Source organism: Homo sapiens, chromosome 8 (assembly GCF_000001405.40).
Source record: "Homo sapiens chromosome 8, GRCh38.p14 Primary Assembly".
Taxonomy (NCBI): domain Eukaryota; kingdom Metazoa; phylum Chordata; class Mammalia; order Primates; family Hominidae; genus Homo; species Homo sapiens.
In genome coordinates, this window is record NC_000008.11 from 75,390,162 (window position 1) to 75,408,738 (window position 18,577).

The 18,577-nt window shown below is 42.4% G+C and overlaps 1 protein-coding gene across 4 annotated transcripts in view, besides 6 other annotated features; it reads left to right on the forward strand.

Annotated features, from left to right (window-relative positions):
* Positions 9,961 to 11,160: an enhancer, noted in NCBI's record as "BRD4-independent group 4 enhancer chr8:76312357-76313556 (GRCh37/hg19 assembly coordinates)". NCBI's record gives its function as "activates an origin of replication core promoter dependent on BRD2, P300/CBP, MED14 and CDK7 cofactors, and independent of BRD4, by STARR-seq in HCT116 cells {active_cell/tissue: HCT116}" and the evidence as "EXISTENCE:reporter gene assay evidence [ECO:0000049][PMID:35650434]".
* Positions 14,337 to 15,158: an enhancer, noted in NCBI's record as "H3K27ac-H3K4me1 hESC enhancer chr8:76316733-76317554 (GRCh37/hg19 assembly coordinates)". NCBI's record gives its function as "activates a minimal SCP1, AML or CMV promoter by ChIP-STARR-seq in naive H9 embryonic stem cells {active_cell/tissue: H9 hESC(naive)}" and the evidence as "EXISTENCE:reporter gene assay evidence [ECO:0000049][PMID:30033119]".
* Positions 16,783 to 17,530: an enhancer, noted in NCBI's record as "H3K27ac hESC enhancer chr8:76319179-76319926 (GRCh37/hg19 assembly coordinates)". NCBI's record gives its function as "activates a minimal SCP1, AML or CMV promoter by ChIP-STARR-seq in naive and primed H9 embryonic stem cells {active_cell/tissue: H9 hESC(naive and primed)}" and the evidence as "EXISTENCE:reporter gene assay evidence [ECO:0000049][PMID:30033119]".
* Positions 17,114 to 17,383: a silencer, noted in NCBI's record as "silent region_19301". NCBI's record gives its function as "represses an Ori minimal core promoter by ATAC-STARR-seq in GM12878 lymphoblastoid cells {active_cell/tissue: GM12878}" and the evidence as "EXISTENCE:reporter gene assay evidence [ECO:0000049][PMID:35858748]".
* The window catches only part of HNF4G (hepatocyte nuclear factor 4 gamma), a 159,186-nt gene continuing 158,096 nt past the window's right edge, over positions 17,488 to 18,577 (forward strand). For 3 of the 4 annotated variants that reach the window (XM_017013373.2, NM_001330561.2, XM_017013374.2), the window contains exon 1: positions 17,488 to 17,803. The gene's annotated coding sequence lies outside the window, so the exon portion shown is untranslated. Of the gene's footprint in view, positions 17,804 to 17,856; positions 18,002 to 18,577 lie in introns of those variants that run through there. The other variant, XM_017013375.2, reaches the window with a different exon arrangement.
* Positions 17,724 to 17,923: a silencer, noted in NCBI's record as "silent region_19302". NCBI's record gives its function as "represses an Ori minimal core promoter by ATAC-STARR-seq in GM12878 lymphoblastoid cells {active_cell/tissue: GM12878}" and the evidence as "EXISTENCE:reporter gene assay evidence [ECO:0000049][PMID:35858748]".
* Positions 17,944 to 18,013: a silencer, noted in NCBI's record as "silent region_19303". NCBI's record gives its function as "represses an Ori minimal core promoter by ATAC-STARR-seq in GM12878 lymphoblastoid cells {active_cell/tissue: GM12878}" and the evidence as "EXISTENCE:reporter gene assay evidence [ECO:0000049][PMID:35858748]".

Here is an 18,577-nt window from a genome sequence, read left to right on the forward strand (position 1 = left end):
ATCTTTCTTTCGACTCTTTCCCTCTTAATCATTCAGTTTCAAAAAACTGGCTGCTAGAATTTTTTTAAAAAATTTAATGTTCAGCTACAAAAATAGTTATTTTACTCCTGAACACAAGCTTCAATGTGACTTTATTTTACTATAAGTGGAACAGATTAGGTTGTGGACTCAGTTTCTGTAATAGAAAAAAAAATCTTTATGAAAATTGTATTAGATGAAAATAAATCTCACCAGGTGTGGTGGCTCAGGCCTGTAATTCCAGCACTTTGGGAGGCTGAGGCATGTGGATCACTTGACGTTAGGAGTTTGAGACCAGCCTGGTCAACATGGTGAAACCCCATCTCTACTAAAAATACAAAAATTACCTGGGCATGGTGGCAGGTGCCTGTCGTCCCAGCTACTTGGGAGTCTAAGGCAGAAGAATGCCTTGAGCCCAGGAGGCAGAGTCTGCAGTGAGCCGAGATCATACCTCTGCACTCCAGCCTGGGTGACAGAGCAAGACTCTGTCTCAAATAAATAAATACATAAATATTTTTAATTTTTAATATTTTGTTTTTCAGACAGAGTTTTGCTCTTTCGCCTGGCCTGGAGTGAAGTGGCGCAATCTCAGCTTATTGCAACCTCCACCTCCCGGGTTCAAGCAATTCTCCTGCCTCAGCCTCCCAAGTAGCTGGGATTACGGGCACCCACTACCATGCCTGGCTAACTTTTTTGTATTTTTAGCAGAAACGGGGTTTCACCATGTTGGTCAGGCTGGTCTCAAACTCCTGACCTCAGGTGATCCACCCGCCTCGGCCTCCCAAAGTGCTGAGGCGTGAGCCGCCTTGACAGGTCTATAAATCAATAAATCTCTTTATCTAGTGTTTGATTAGTTCTTTACTTGCACATAATTTTGAGGATCTTGAATGTATTTTATTTTAACATTTTTACCAATTCCTGGAAAAGCAAAAAGACCTTCTTTTTTTTTTCTTTTTTTTACTTTTCTAATCAATTTTCTTGAGGTATAATTGAAATATGAGAGAATGAATTTAAGTGTATAGTTCAATGAAAATACGCTCATTTTAAAACATGGTTTATTTCGTGAGTCTCTGAAGGATTATTTCAGTAAAAGTAGGAATTGATTGCTTCTAGAAAATTATCCATAACATCTCTAAACTCACCTCTTGAGAAATTTTGCCCTGAATACCAAGCACGCCCATAACTTACCTATTAGCCACACAGATGTAAATCTAAGAGCAAACTTTGTGTTAAAACATTTTAATGTTAAACAGTTTTCAGTTATAACCTCCACACATTTACTGATAATGAGCCACAATGGACAACAGTAAGAAACTAGAATAAAATTCATAAATTCTTTGCTATTATCCAGTCAAATATATACATTAAGTACAAGGCACTTGCAGATACTGGAGACACAGCAGTAAACAGAACAGACACAGCCACAGCCCCTATGATTTGTTTCTTTATCCTTCCTAACATTTTGGTAATCTATTTAATACTGCATATTACAACAATTCCTGGTTATATTAACTAGAGTAAATTCTGTTTTCTGAATGCGGAACAATGTGTTACAGCTACTAATGCTTTCTTTTCTAATTGCATGATCCCAAATTATTGTCCTTCCATGAATCTGCTATTGCTGCTGACTCAATGTAATGTCCACACTGTAGAGTACGTATGGGACTATAGCCCATTTCCATTGATGGTAAAAACAATTTTCCAATTGTTTAGGAGCTGAATAGAGTCCCGATTGTGCAGAAAAATGGCCTCATCATGTGTGTCCTTAACAGCTTAATGCTCATAGTTATACAGGTTACAAAAGAATGTTAAGGTTAATACTTGCAAACATCAAGATTGGTTAGTTCAGTTTCTCAGAGTGTGGTCATTAGACCAGCAGCAGCAACATCACCCGCAAACTTCTTGGAAATGCAGATTCTTGTGTCTCACCTCAGACCTACTTAATTAGAAACAAAAAGTGGGCTCCCAATCTGTATTTTAATGAATGCTCCAGGTAATTCTGACACACAATTAGTTTGAGAATCTCTGGGTTGAATTACGCTCAGATAACTAACATTTTAAGGCTTAAAACACAGAAGGTAGGCAGGGCGCAATAGCTCATCCCTGTAATCTCAGCATTTTGGAAGGCCTAGGTGGGCAGAACACTTGAGCCCAGGAATTCAAGACCAGCCTAGGAAACAGGGCAAAACCTTTCTCTACCAAAAACTAGCCAGGCATAGTGGTGCACGTCTGTGGTCCCCGCTGCTAGGAAGGCTGAGGTGGGAGGATTGCTGGAGCCCAGTAATCAGAGGTTGCAGTGAGTCAAGATAGAGCCACTGCACTCCAGCCTAGGCAACAGAGAGACTCACTCTCAAAAGAAAAACAAACAAAAACAAAAAAACAAAACAACAACACCAAAGGTTTGTTTTTCATTTATGCAGGATATTTTTTGGTGTGTTATCTGGCTGCTCTCCTTTGTGATGTCCCTACTTTAGAATCCATGCTGAAGAAACGTTGCTGCCATAATTTTAGGGGAAAAAAGACATCTTGCAATTAGATGTTCTTGCCCAGAAAGGCACATGTCCTTCCACTTAGAACTTATTATCCATATCTGGTTATCCAGTCCCACCTGGTAAGGTAGGATCAGGAAATGCTATCTAACATTTTCCTGGAAGGAAGAAATCAGAAATAGTAAATAGTTTTTATGACCACCATAATGACTAAATCTTGTACTCAAATATTTGGCTCATTCTTTCATCTGTAGACAAAATACACTCACCCACTAATGAAGGCACATAAAACAGGGCCGGGTGTGGTGGCTCATGCCTGTAATCCCAACACTTTGGGAGGCTGAGGTGGGCAGATCAGCTGAGGTCAGGAGTTCAAGACGAGCCTGACCAACATGTTGAAACCCCATCTCTACTAAAAATACAAAATTAGCCGGGCATGATGGCACGCACCTGTAATCTTAGCTACTCAGGAGGCTGAGGCAGGAGAATTGCTTGAACCTGGGAGGCAGAAGTTGCAGTGAGCTGAGAGCGCGCCACTGCACTCCAGCCTGGGCAGTAAAAGCGAAAATCCATCTCAAAAAAATAAATTAATTAATAAATGAAAATAAAACAGAAGTCCCAACCAACATGGCACTGAGCCCAAACTCCACATTTTTTGGGTGAAGCATTATATTATTTAAAGTTGGGATAATGTGTGATAGTCTTTATAACACCTTTGGATGTAGCACCTCCTAATTCAAATAACCATGGAAAAAGGGCAAGTTACTCTTCCCCTAATAATAAATGATGGAAAAGGACAGTTTATCCACTAAAGACATTCCCATGTAGAAAAGTGATGAATGGCCATCATGCAGCAGTCTCTGTTCTATAGCAAATCTAAAATCCTGCTGATCAGATTCTGCAAGGGTCTTCTACCCCCAGAACAGCATGTTCATTCAGTTCCTCCAAGATGCAGATGCCCAAGATGGGAGTACACATGCAATTATTTTGTTATGAGAAACACTTGTGAGAAAAAAAATAGGGAAGGAGCCAGGGGAAGCTGGGAGAGACATCAAGGCATGACGTAAACCTGACCCTAAGTGAAGGAGAGAGGACAGGACGGTGGGGTAGAAGAATCCTCAATGGCTACACAGTCAAAAGAAGGTCCAACAAGGCCACCAGGGGTTTCTGGAGCCAAAGTCAGACGTTAGAGTAATCCCTTATCCCAAATGAGCCTGCCTTAGTAGAAATGGGACTGCGTTTGTGTCCCTGGTGCACTCAGTCACCACCATTGCGAAACTTGTGGGAAATGTGCCACTGGGGCAGGCTTGATGAGGGAGATCAAAGTGCAGCAGATCGGTTAGTGAAGCTCCCGGTCTTTGGTGGTCTGCAAGACATGTACTTACGGCCACCACAATCCACCCATTGTGTCATTTAGACATATTCACACAGGTTCAGGGAGCAGCTCCTCCACACTTCCTGGGGGTCCCTCTTCCTGTTTGGAACCCAGAAGAGGGAGGTTAGTGAGATGAACAAAAGTCTCTGTTGTTGTGGTTGATCCTAGAGATAGCACTCATCCTCTTCTCCACCATTCATTCAAATTCCCCTCACTTTCAGCTACCATTTTGGCATTTACTTGTCTACAAGCACCCCTACCTTTTCCTGCTCATCAGAAATTGCTCAGTATGGTGATTCTTTTGTCTGCTGGCCCCTGGACACATGGAATCCAAAGTGCTCTGATAGCAGCTGGAATTTGTAGTTCAATGGCAACCTTGCTGTGTTCCCTTTAAGATCACATTCCTCTGAGGACTAGGGCTTTTAAAACTGCAGGGCCCAGAGTCTGTGGGAACCAGAAATACAGTGTTTCCAACTGTGTCATTGAGAGCGATGGTTATAGAGGCCACTTTTGCTTCCATCTCTTGATTCCTGGATCCAGGTGTCTTTTCTCTTGTGGACACAGGCCATGTAGAGGTGTTTGATTTAATAAATATACCCATCCTGAAAGATGGTGCCCTACCCTTTCAAGTGTTTTCTCCAATGTGGTACTTCAATTATACCTTTGTTTTTGTTTTTTCTTGTTTTTTTTGAGATGGAGTCTCGCTCTGTTGCACAGGCTGGAGTGCAGTAGCATGACCTTGGCTCACTGCAACCTCTGCTTCCCGGGTTCAAGTGATTCCTGTGCCTCACCCTGCCAAGTAGCTGGGATTACAGGCACTTGCCATCATGCCCAGTTAATTTTTGTATTTTTAGTAGAGATGGGATTTCACCATGTTGGCCAGCCTGGTCTCGAACTCCTGACCTCAAGTGATCTGCTTGCCTCAGTCTCCCAAAGTGCTGGGATTACAGGCATGAGCCACCGCACCCAGCCCCAGTTATACCCTTGGAAGGCTGATCTAGATTTCAGTGAAGTTGGTTGACTCTGAGTCATGCATAGACCCCATAGTCATGTAGATCCCATAGTAATGGTCCTGCTGTCTTACCGCTGGTTACTGGGTTATGCTGGGAGATAACCCTAGTTATCAACTTGGCATGCAGGCCAGAAGGTGAGCAGCTTCTAAGGGGAGAGGGAGCCTTCTGTTCCCTTGAATGAGACAGGTTTCTGCAGCATCTTCTGGCACAGAGGAAATGCTAGCTCTGACTAGGGAAGAATGAATCACTTCTGTACCCGCAGAAGACCCAGGGAAGTTACAGAGACAACATTCTTATGGTCAGTTCATCTGGTTGGCTGTATACCATGATTCAGGATTTGAAATGTTCCTTACCAGGGCCCTAACTTTCATATAGCAGACATGCTGTGGCTGAGCATTCAAATACCTCGGGAGTTCTGTTATTCTGACAACTAGGCCTTTGGTGTAACCTTAACTGTGTCTGCCCTTCCACTCCAAGTATAAGGGCATTTTTGTAAACTGAGACAGAAACTCTCTGGCTTTCACAATTAGGTATTTACTGCTGGTTAACAGCCCTTACTTCCTCATTATTCTTCGGCAAGTTTAATATAATTTAACAGTAATCAATGAACTCAGCATTGCTGCCCTCATATTTTTCCAAATACATATTCTTTTCAAATGACACCAAATGATATCATTATCATACCTTCCACAACATCCCCTGCCCTCACCCTCACTGGAACAATTTCTGAGGTCACCTCTGTTGAAATCTTTGGCAATTATTCTGCCACCTTGTGCCAGGGATGGCCTGTACTCCACTTATCAACCAGGATGATGTCCTCTCTACCTGCCATGTGCTGGGTGAGCTATGTTTACCTTTTACTTGTTAGAGTTAAGAAATATTTTAATCTTCCAAATACAATTTTCCTAAATTTCTTTACTCTTTTTCACTTATGTGTATAAATCAGCAAAATCATTTTTTCTCATAATATCTTGCCAAACGTAGCCAACAGCAACAAACATTGTTACCGACATCTATTTTCAGAGCATGTTTCCTGGAGCTCAAGTTAAATAGGTATATAACCTGACTTCCAGGTTAATACAATCAACAGTCTACCAGATGCTTCACTGACACGTTTTATGGATTTCAGTTTTTGAAACCAGTTTTCTCACCACCTATGTATGCTCAGCCCTTTAACTATTGCTACATACTTAATAAGGTTATTATTTCTCTGTAATTAGCACCCCACTTCTGGTATGAATTTCTGTTTCAGTTAAATTCGGTTAGCTTATATTACATTATCAAGCATATTCACAAATTTCAGTTTAAAAAACAAGGAATTTTTTTACTTACATAAATATCCCTAGTAGAGCAGCTGGAGACCTACTCCATTCTGTGCCCACTTTTGTAGTCCAGGCTGATGGAGCATCCACTATCTGGATCAAATCCTTGCCACCACCATGGTGCCTAACTCTGCTGGGGCTCCACCCAGTCACCACTGAGGCAACCAAGTATAAATCGGACTTATTCCAGTTGATACAGGAGCAGTTCTGTCTCCTGAGATAACTACTGAAATTCTAATTCTTCCCATCACTATTAGACCTGAGTAATATAGCTTATCCAAAGGCTCCATGAGCTAAACTCTGGGCATTGAGAACCTGGACAATAGGAAACAATGGTTAGAAGGGAACTCACAGATAAATCCCTCCTCTTTCCTTCTCACCACTCTCTCCTGCATCTATCAGGATCCACTCAGGAGACTGAAATCCCAGCTGCAACTTTAACACACACAAAAAAACTTAATGTAAAGACTTTTAATTAGATAAAAGGCAGTTGTATTAGTCTGTTTGATTTGCTATAACAAAATGCTGGGTGCCCTAAATAACAGAAATTTACATTCTCACAGTTCTGGAGCCTGAAAGTCCAAGATCAAGGTTCCAGCTGGGTTTCCGGTGGTGGTTCTCCTCCTGGCTTGCAAATGGCTGTTTTCTCACTATCCCGTCACTCACGTGGTCTTTCGTCAGTGTGTACACACAAAAGAAGAGATGGGGAGCTCTCTGGTGTCTCTTTCTTACAATGCCACTAATCTTATCAGATTAAAACCCACCCTTATGACCTCATTTACCCTTAATTATTTCCTTAGAGGCCACATCTCCAAATACAGTCATGCTAAGGGTTGAAGATTCATCATATGAATTTGGAGGTACATAGACATTCAGTCCATAATATACCATAACTTTGATCAGATTTTCCAAGTGACCTAAATCTAAGAAAATTTAACAATCACTGATTTGAAAATTAGAAAGTTACAGGGATGCCATGCCTAGAATGCACAGGTTTTCTTTAAGTTTTATTAATTAAGATATTAACAGGTTAAAAGATAGTAAAATATAAAAGATGAGACAGCCATTGGTTTTGCCTACATAATATCTATTCTCCTATACCTCCTTACTGTAGTAGACTTGGGAAAAAGTAACTATAAATTTCCCCCTTTCCTGTAAGTATTGTGAGTTTGCCATCCTCCCATCAGGAAGTAATATCTCTCTCTCTACTTGAACTTTGGATTAGCCATGTCATTGGCTGTAATCAATGGGACATTAACATACATAATATTAAATGATGCTTAAAAAGTACTAGTGTATTGGAGCTTGTCTTCTCTTCCTTTTTTTAGGAATGCTGGGACTACCATGAGAAGTCATATCTTCCTGGATCAGGAATGGTCATATAGAGAAAGAGGAAGGCCCAGCAATCCCAGCTGAAATCTTAGACAAGAGTTTAAGGCTATTGCAAATTATTCAGTCGAGCTGTCACAGAACCGCCCCACCAACCCAAATTGTGAGATATAATATTATCATTGTTTTAGGCAACTATATTCTGAGGTGGCTTGTTAAACTGCAAAATTCAATGTATTAATACATATCAACAAAATCCCAAATGTATTTGGTTTGGCAGTCTGGTTACTGAAGATAACCTTCCTGCAATCTATGGCTACAAATGGTATCCTCTTGATCCAGCTCTGGCCAATGACGCATACACATACGTTGCTAATTGGTGTCTGGTAGTGGAGCCATCTAAAGGGAGGCAATTCTTTTAGTTAGAATGATTCTTTGGCCCTTTGCTTTTCCTCCTCCTTCTTCCCTGGAATACAGATAAAATAAAGGAAGCATATTTCAACCATGAGATAAAAGTCCCACTCTAAGAATGGTGGGACAGGAAAATAGAAAGCAATTGAGCCCTGATGGCAGTTTAGCTGCCCTACCAGGTCAGGACTACACAATCTCCAGACTTTTTGTTGTATGAGAAAAAAAATCTTTAATCCACTGGAATAAATGAATGCAAATACTAACTCAACGTATTAAAGAAGGTGGAGTCACTGACGGTTCCTATTTTGCTGGCTTTGTCAACTGGATAATATTTCCATTAATCCAAAGAAAAGGCATATTTGGGGATAAGATAAATTTAGAAAATACTGAGTTTAAAGTGCCTATAAAAGGTATAGAAGACAGGGAAGATGAGAGGTAAGCCAAAGCTGTTATAATGCTGATACTTAGAGGGAAGATCTGGGTTTGAGTGTAATTTAGGGAATCATCAGCCAATGTTGTGGTAGGTAAAACTGTTAGAGTGCATGGGATTTCCCAGGAAGAGTCAGAAGAAAAAAGTGTAAAGGAAGAATCTTAGGAAACAGCAGTTGTTATAGGATGGTTGGAGCAAAGTGTTAAGAAATACAGATAAAAGAATGCTAAGAGGGTTAGACATAGACTCTGGTGAGCTTAATATAAGGATTGAGCATGTCCTTATTGGATTTACCAATCAGGAGGCCACTAAGGCCCTTTCTGAGAGCAGAGTCCCTGGAGTGGAACCAGCTAAAGCCGGATTATGGTGGGTGGAAGAGTGAATGAAAGGTGTTGATAAGGAGACCATAAGTCGACTTGGCTAGCGAATCTTGGCTGCAAAGGACAAAAAAATAGGGCAACACCAGAAGGAGACAGAGTAGAGAGGAAATTTTGCTTTTGCTTTTTAAAATATTTTGGTTTGTTGGTAAGACTTGAACCTGTTTATAGCCTGCAGGGAAGAAACCATTGCAGAGGGAGAGTGTGAAGATATAAGAAAAAGAAATACTGTAATTGATAGAACAAGGCCAGGCATAGGCAGCAAGGGATGGAATCAAGAACACAGGTGGATGGATTAACCTTAAACAGGAGTTGAATCTCTTCTTCCTGTGAGAGCGTCAATATTTCCTCCTGAAAAGGGGAAGGTGCACTTAGATCTACATGGATATACAAGAGAGATACAAAGGGCCTGACTGCTGTAGTTTCAGCTTTTGTCTGCTGTCTGATCTTGATTGGAGTCATGTAAGAGATCAGGAAGGCAGAGCTAGTGGCTTCTCTTGTTAAACCATGGCAGGAATCCCGCACCAGCTGCTGTCAGCTTTTGAAAGCATTCACTACTCATAAATTAATACCTACACGCTACAGTGCTACTTAATTAGTCATCGTTAATATTTCAAATATTGTGGATTACAACAAAACAAAAACATATAGTGTCATAGATTGATCATTCACCTACAGTTTCTAAAATGAGCAATATGCTTCCAGAAGAGAAGTCTTGTTCTCATGACACAATTATTGAGGAATTTGAATACGTTTAACCAGCTCAGGTTTATACAGTCACTGTCCTGAAAAGAGGATAATATTTTCTGTAATTAGATAATAGAAAAATATGTTCGGAACACACTTGCATTTTGTTTTGTAAATAAGATAAAATTGGAAATTAGAATGAGGCAAAGTGGAAAAATAATTGAGATGATGAAGCCTGCTAAGTTCAGGGACAAATTTTTGGAAGTATGTTGGAGGGCTTTTCAAGAACTGTTTGCAGTAGCATTGGTAACTTCATGACTTGAAATTAAAGTACAGAGGGGCATAGACTGTAGAATCAATCTACAATAAAGGTTTGAACGATAGTGGTCAAAAATTATACTAAATAGATGAGATAAGTGAATATATTTTTTGCTTTTTACATATATTTTTCTTAGTACTTGATTTTTATAATTAGTGTTAATTAACTGATTTTTTTTTTCCTTTCATTTGGATGTCTGATATATTACAGACCATGTGCCTTCAAGCAAATGCTCCTTTTGGATGTATCTTGTATCTCTTTTATTTTTTTAATATTTATCATTTTTTTGAGATGGAGTCTTGCTCTGTCCCTCAGACTCTTTTAGCCTCTAACTTGAATTGCAGTGATGTCTTTTTGCCTCTTTTGTTTATGGGAGGCAGTATGACATGGAAGATGCATGCCACCCTCGGCTCTGGAACCATATCAGCTCTGACTTACCAGCTTCATGACTTGCTGATTCCTCAGCTTCCGCGATCACCAGTAAAATGGTGTTTACGATACAGATCTTCTAGGGTTGTTGTAAGTACTCAATGTGTTAACTAATTAAAATCCCATAAAACAATCCTGGCATATTAAAAGCACCCTTAAATTTAAAAATGTCAGCTATCATTAAAATATAGTGATGATTTTTTAATGGTTATTTCATTCAGTAAATCTTCTACATATGCTAAATATTTAATAATGTGAACTTCAACAAAAAGTAGTTTTCGGTTGCCCTACCAAGTAGATTTTTACTTGTTTTTGATGAGGTTGTCCCTGGGTATCCATGGGTGATTGCTTCCAGGACTTCCTGAAGATGCCAAGATCCGAGAATGTTCATCTCTAATGTAAAATGGTGTAGGCCGGGTGCAGTGGATCAGGCCTGTAATCCCAGCACTTTGGGAGGCAGAGGCGGGTGGATCACAAGGTCACGAGATCGAGACTATCCTGGCCAACATGGTGAAACCGCGTCTCTACTAAAAATACAAAAATTAGCTGGGTGTGGTGGCCCATGCCTGTAATCCCAGCTACTCGGGAGGCTGAGGCAGAAGAATCACTTGAACCGGGGAGGCAGAGGTTGCCGTGAGCTGAGATCATGACACTGCATTCCAGCCTGGTGACAGAGCAAGACTCTGTCTCAAAAAAAAAAAAAAAGGTGTAGTATTTGTGTATCACCTAAGTATTAATACATCCTCCAGTATACTTTAAATCATCTCTAGATTACTTATAACACCTAATTTAATGTAAATATTATATAAATAGTTGTATTGTTTAGGGAATAGTGACAACAAAAAAAGTTTGTAAATGTTCGGTACAGATGCAACCATTCATTTTTTTTTTTCCCAAATGTTTTCCGCCAAGTGCGATGGCTCATGCCACCAGCAGTTTATGAGGCCGAGATGGGTGGATTGCTTGAGCTCAGGAATTCAAGACTAGCCTGCGCAATCATGGTGAAACCCAGCATCTACTAAAAACACAAAATTACCTGGGCATTGTGGTGCATGCCTGTAGTCCCAGCTGCTTGGGAGGCTGAGGTGGTAGGATTGTTTGAGCCTAGGAGACAGAGGTTTCAATGAGCCAAGATGCACCACTGCATTCCAGCCTGAGCGACAGAGGGAGACCCTGTCTTAAACAAATATATATTCGATCCTCGGTGTGTTGAATCCAGGGATGCAGAACCCATGGATAGAAAGGGCTGACTGTATTTGATGAGGTCTAATTTTGAAGGAGTATAAAACTTATAGCAAGGTACCAAAAGCAAGCATGTGAGTGTATAAGTATAATCAAGTCCATCTTTCTTTGCTGCTGCTGCTGCTGTTCCTTCTCCTTTTCATCCTCCTTTTCTCTTTCTTTTTGAGAAAATGAGAGATGGCTTTGTGTGCATATTTTCAGAGTCCAAACAGGAAGTAGGTACCTCTTAGCTGTTTTTTGAATTTTTGAAATTTGCTTGTCAACTGGATCCAAAGCTGATAGTGAATTTAATCCAAAAAAAGACAAATAGCATAAAATTTATATGAAGATATTTAGAAGAAAAACTAGTATTATAATAAATTGATGATCTGAGTGAAGATCAATAACCTTAATGATTAATACACACAAAAGGAATGAAATAAATTGAATGATTATGTTATAACGCTCCCTAGTGTAATAGTGTGTTTCTTTCCCTTTAGCTATAATTTTACATTTTTCTTTCATTTCTTATACTTGTTTTGGTTTGTAAGTAAGAAAACAACTAAACTCAGAGGAATGGAGGATGCCTAGAATCAGCATTTTCTTTTATGCCCACTAGATGGCAGGTATAGGACTCTGAATGCTTTTCAGGAGCTGTGTCACCTTTTTTTTTTTTTTTTTTTTTTTAAAAGCACATTATAATTGCACTCATGTAAAGTTCAAAAATAGTCAAAGCTAATTGGGTTAGAAGTCAGGATAGTGGCTACCTTCAGAAGAATGAAGCGACTGGAAGGGTTTATGGAGTACTGCAAATACCCTATTTATTTTTAAATTCATTAATTTTTTTAATTGACATATAACATTGTATGTATTTATTATATACAACATAATGTGTTGAAGTATATAAATATTGTGGAATTGTTAAGTCTAGCTAATTAACAAATGCATTACCTCACATAGTTATCATTTTTGTGAGGGGAATACTTAATATCCACCCTCTTGGCATTTTTTAAAAGTACAATACCTTGTCCTTAAGTATGGCCTTCATGTTGTACAATAGATCTCTTGAACTTATTTTGTTACCCATTCTTATTTGCAGCACTAGATGAGAAAACCAGTTTTGTTCAAAGCACAAAATTTTAGAAATGAATCATTTTATCTTCAGCCCCCTCCCCCAGTCTCCTACATAGATCCTAAAAAACAAACAAAAAAACGACTGGTAAAACTGGTAAAGGAAGGTAGGGTTTCTAATAAGGCTTTTAAGTATTTTCACACAATACACTCGTTTTCTGTCTTTTTCCTTTCTCCTTTGGACACATACAATCCAAAATGTGGTGTAGTCTCTGTGTAATCTCAGTTCTCTTATTTTTTCACAGTGGAAAGATCCCGGTTGCCCAATTGCAAGGGGCAGTGAGAGAGTACATTGTAAATTGTTTGTAGATTTACTTTGTTTTCTTTATGAAAAAAAGAGAGTAGGAAATTGGGGAATTTTAAATAGTTCTTTTTTCCTTGTTTCTCACCGTTTTGTTTAAAGTTTTTCTTTCTTTCTTTTTCTTTTTCTTTTTTTTCCTGGCTTGAAATACAGCTGAAATAACTGAATTTTCTACTTGAAACGTGTGTGCCTCTCCACTGAGGGGCCAAGGCCCTGGAAATGTAAAGGGCCAATCTTTGTTACAGAGGGGTTCATTGCAGTGAAGGGCGGGTTCTGCAAAGACAAACAGGTCTCACAGATAGTTGCCAAGGGCACCGAATACATCTTTGCATTACACCTTGAACTAGCATGCTCATATCACCTGTTTTTATTGCATGCACCATAAATGACTGTAAAAGTTTGCAAATCTTGTAGAGACCTTGGCAATCAATACTTCAGCAGGAAATCTACAAAGAGGGGAGTGGGAAGAGAAGGGATCCAGCCTAGTAGTTTGCCTATTTGTTACAAGAACCATACCTTGACATTGAGAATTATTAAGTATGTTCGATTTTCACGGTGTCTCAGCCAGATGCGTAACATACGCAGAGTAGTTTCAATTTAGACGCTCAATTTGAAATCTTGGCTTTGCATTTTTATTTACAGGTAACGGAGTCTGGGAACATTCCTGTGGCCTTCCTTAAACTGAACTTACTCTGGGTGCTTCTGATCTGTGACTTGAGCGCAAAATAAAGACTAATTTTTATCTGGGTCAATGTGGGGCCAACTAGGGTGGCCGGTCCTGAAGGCCACGCCTGCAGCTTTAGTGTTTTTAAATGTCTGACCACCAAACGGGTCATGCAAGTGTATGGACTTTTTTCTTTTCTTTTTAGAGTCTGCACAGTGATGGTAGGACTGGGAGTACTAATCAATCCCTGTGCCATGTTCAATCGGTCTGTTCTACTGATTTTTTTCTTGTTGTTCTTGTTTCACCGTGTTAAATTTAAGTCTTTAAGAAGTGGACGCCCCGTGGAAAGCCCGACAAATGAAACAGTAGAGGAGGGTACCAAAGTCCCGGGGTCCCAGTTGCAGTCCGCTATTGCTCCAGGCCCAGCGGGGGCGGACCTCGTTGGAGGCTACGGTGCAGGTCGGAGAAGATGAAATGGCCTAGCATCCCCCTTCCCAGGGGCTCGAGTCGGCAGCTTTAGAGCTCCGACAATCTGTGCCCTCGCTTTGGGCTGCGCCAGGGAGCAAAAAACCTCTGCTTTTTTGAAAGAGGCCGGGGCAACAAGGTAGAGAGCCGCGGCCAGAAGCAGCCCCGGGCCATAAACCCGAGGCCTGGATGGCTTAAGGCTGAAACCGCCTCCGCCCCCACCCTCACCCTGCTGGCCGAGCCCTCCCCCCTCCTAGCCACAGTGACCGGAATCCCAGACTTCCCTTCTGATGCATAAAACATTCAGTGGCCTCCAGGGAGTTTTTGAAATTCTGGCGGAGGCTGCTTTATCCGTTGTTTCGCCCCCTGGGTCAAACACTGGTCCACTGGGTGAGTTGGAGGAGCGAGTAGCTCAGCTATAGATTAAATTTAACCTGAGCCCCGGTGGCCGCGTCCCGCCCGCGGTCCTTTCTATACGAGTAGCTTTGAAGGTGTCACCGAGCTGTGCCCAAATCTAGAAAAGAATGGGAGGAGAACTGCATGAGCTTTTAATTTTCTTCCCTTTTTCCCCCCTTCCTGCGTGTAAACTGGGGTAAGGGTGGGCGGTAATCCCCACTGATTGAGCCCGCGCGGGGAGGTAAGGACTCCGGCGTGGGTGCCACCGCGGTTGCGAAAAATCGGGTTCTGAACCCGGTCAGCAGGAGTGGCAGCGCCCCAGCAGCACCTAGGCAGGAAGAGGACACTTCCCGTTCGCGTTTGGTGATGGTTTCATGTACCAGGACATGGGTGCGGAGTTGTCCTCAGAAATAGGGTCTCTGGATGCTGAAATCATAAAGACCTTTTCCCTGAGGTTGTGCGCGCGGGCCCGCGCCCTCCCTACTTCCTGAGCCCTCTGCCTGAGGCCACTGCTTTTAATTAATAGTATCAGAACGGTTCGTGGGAGAACCTGGAGTTCTTATCAAGACAATCTTGGTGGCGTTGGGAAGCGCGAGAGTAGGGGTGGGGGGATGGGGGTGGGGGGAATGGTGTAAAAAAGTACCAAAGCGAAAAGGAAAAGTACAGGCTAAACGAGACATTTAATAGGAAAGTGAAGTAAAGGGTTTTTTGACGCCACATTTTGTGTATTTAGTTTTAGGTTAAGAGCAGATGCAACATAAATATATATGTGTATAATTTCCCCCTAACCACTAACTAGCGAAATGGAACATTGTATCTACTGAGAACCTTTCCCTGAAAAATTATCCTGAGCCTTTCTTCTTATTGTTGTCCAACCCCCGCCCCCCGCACCCCCAAGCATCAGGGGACGACTCTCCATAGAGCACATTTTTCATCTTCAGCAGCTTCAAGCCATGCCATGGAGAATCGTAATAAATTAGTTTCAGGAACAATATAAGTGATGCTCTAAAGCTTGGTCGTGTAGCATTGGTTTATCTAGTAAAAACTGCCAAGCTCCAGAGGGGAGTCAAATCCTTGTTCCTTCTAGTTCTTAACGTCGTTTATTTATTCATTCATCCATTCATTCATCTGAAACCCCTCCTTTCTTGCTCCTGGCACAGGAGGATTGGCAGTGTTACCTAAACTCTTCTCAGGGGTTTTTAAAAATTGAACAAATGCAATGTTTTTCTTAGATAATAACTAAGACTTCACAGAGTTTAATTTCTTGAATGCATGACTTTTTTTCATTATTGAAAATCCTCGTGTTGATAAATTTTATCGCAAAGGTTCTACATATTGTGTCAAAATAATTTTGTACACAGAACATGTGATTATTTCCTGGTAGATCAGCGATTCTACCACATACCAGAAATGAATTGATTATCCAAAACCCAACCCACTTACATCGCAGATTAACAGTGGAATAAACTGAGACTATTGAATTAAAATATTATTTCTCTGCTGAGAACAAGAGATGTCAGGTGTCATTAAAGCTTCTGTGAATGAGGATGAAGAACTTGTCTCCAGACTTTGTGTTTTATGGAAACTATACATTCATATTTTGGCATAGAATAGACCTTCATTCTCCAAGTATCTGGAAATATTTTTAAAGAAAATGTCCACAGGTGATCTGTAAACAACACACCTATGAAAGATTTGCATAATAAATATAACCCGTTAATTGTAACTCTTTTGCCTCTGCCGTGTCTGGATGGTTTCCCATGAGCGACATGAACAGAGGCCACTTTCTTGACACGGTTTGCAAACCGCGTGGGCAATGAGGAACCAAAGAATATGTTTTGTTCAAAAAGGTCGATTTTAAGAAAAATAGTATATGATCTCTCTCCTTTGTCCTCATTTCTAAAACAGCCAACAACTTGTTTTTCAAAGAACCTTTCAGCAAGATATTCAGAAGGAGAAAACTGAGAAAGTTTAGTAAATCCGATCTAAAAAGAAAAAGAAAAAAACACCTAGCCCTTTGATCTCCCTGGCATTGTTATTACAGCCTTAAAATATCAGCCAACCCTCTGGTAGGAAAAGAAAAATCTTACGGATTAAGTAACTATTTATCTCACGATGATAATTACTTGTTTGACCTGAAGTCACTCATTCCTGAAACCACGAGTTAAATTGTTGAGATGTTTTTAAAAGCCGGCGCTCTGGCTATATTTCTGGTGAACAAATGCCTGACCAAGAAGATCAGCGCATCTGGGACGGGTCTGAGACCCACTTCTGCAAGTCGAAAGCTAAAGGGTATGGGAGGGAGAAAGGGAAGTTTTCCATCAAATACATATCTAAAGAGGTACTTAAAGACTAAAACCACAGGTAGCTGGCACGGATGGGAACGGAAAACCATTCCCCCTCCTCTTCCCAGAACTCTTGCTGAGCTAGGTGGTCAGGAGCGTCATGGTAGAATATAACCCCAGAGGCCCAAGGTGCAGTTTGAAGAAACGGTGGCGGCTTCCCCTAGTGGTGTGGCTTCAGAGCTGCTCCTAGGAAGCCATTTAATTCCCTTTAATGATATTTCCAGCCGTTTTCTGGACCTCATGAGCTCAGGATGAAATCAGCATTCTAGGGTCAGCAGGCTTCTCCCTGCTACCACGTGTCCAGAAGCACTTCCACAAGCCAGGGTTGACATCGCCCAAGACGAGGCGTGACCCGGGGCGGGGGAGGGGACTTCGCCCGCGTCGCGTGAAGGATGCCCTGGCCTTGGGCTGCAGGCGCGGACCCCCGGGGGCTCCCCAGGGTGTAGGAGGCGGAGACTGATCCGCTCTAGCCCCGAGCGGTCCAGCGCGGGGCGACTCGCCCGCATAGTGGAGATTCCGGCATGAGGCGGCGGCAGTCACCGCCTGGCTGCCCCGCGGAGGCCCGGGAGAGCCGCTGCGGTCTCGGGAGGCCGGGCTTTGGGACTTGCTGGCCCGACCGCCAGTCGCCCTGGGGCCTTGGGAACAGGGAAATGCGCGCGCCGAGGCGGTGGCGGCCTCGCTGCTTTCAGTTTTCATTGAGTCTGCTGGTTACTGTTTAACGTCCCCACCCACGTTTCAGTTTGTTTAGTAAATCGATAGGACTGTGAGAGTCAGGCCGCTGCCCTGTCGCCATTGAGCAAAGCTAATATTCTCCCAGCATATGGTCTAAAATCTTTGCTAGAGATCGGGAAAAAGAAACAAACAAACAAACAAACAACAACAAAATCCTTAAGCTTCCTCTCCCAAGTCCCCCCATCCCCACCCCCACTTCCCACCTCCTCGCTTTCAGCAAACTTCCCAGCCTGGGAAAAGTGCGGCGCGGGACAGCGCGACGGGGTGGGTGGGGGACCTGCTGCCGGGAGATGCGGCGGCGGCCGCGCGGCTGACTGCGACTCGGGAGCTCCGGGAGCGGCCCGCGCAGGTAAGTTTCTCCGCCGCCGCCCGGGGCCCGGGCTGGCCGCAGCGCACCGCCCCGGCGGCTGCCGGGCAGGAGGAGCCTCGGTTCCCCTCGGGCGGCTGAAGGAGGGGCTGAGCCTCAGGACCCCTAGGCCAGGCCGTGTTGAAAGCAGATACCCCGAGGCCTCGCCCAGCCTGCGCTGGAGGGAAGAAGGCGCTGGAGGTGCGGCAGCGGGCAGTGGGGGGACCGGGGAATTGAAAGGTGCCAGTCCTCTACCTTAGAAAAGAAAGAAAGAGAGAAGGAGAGAGAGAGAGAGAGAGAGGAGAGAGAGAGAGAGAGTTGTATTTGTTTGGGTGCAGAGAAAGCTTTGGTGGCTGTAGCGGGTCATGTGATTCCCAGGTCTCTGGGGGGTCTTCCGTGTAAGTACTTCTGTGGCCTGGGGCAAGGCCAGGACAAATGGATGTTCGTGGACCCTGGAGGTCTGTGGGTAGGTGCTTGGTCCTGCAGCATCACCCCATGCATGGCCTTTGCTCAAGTCTCAGCTTCCATCCATCTCTCATGGACACATCTTGGGAGTGGGCATCTGCCGGTGATGCCGTTGGGGGATATTTTAAATATAGTATTGAGATCTTCCTAGTTAACTTTGGGATGAAATGTCCTTTGGAAGCTTAGTTAACAACGTGCCAGTTAAGCAATAACCGTTCTGTGTCTAACTGAAATAAGCCAGCACGTGATAAGATCTTAGAATGGAATGAATATATGTGCTTCATACCTGATGATCTGTGCTTATAAATCTTG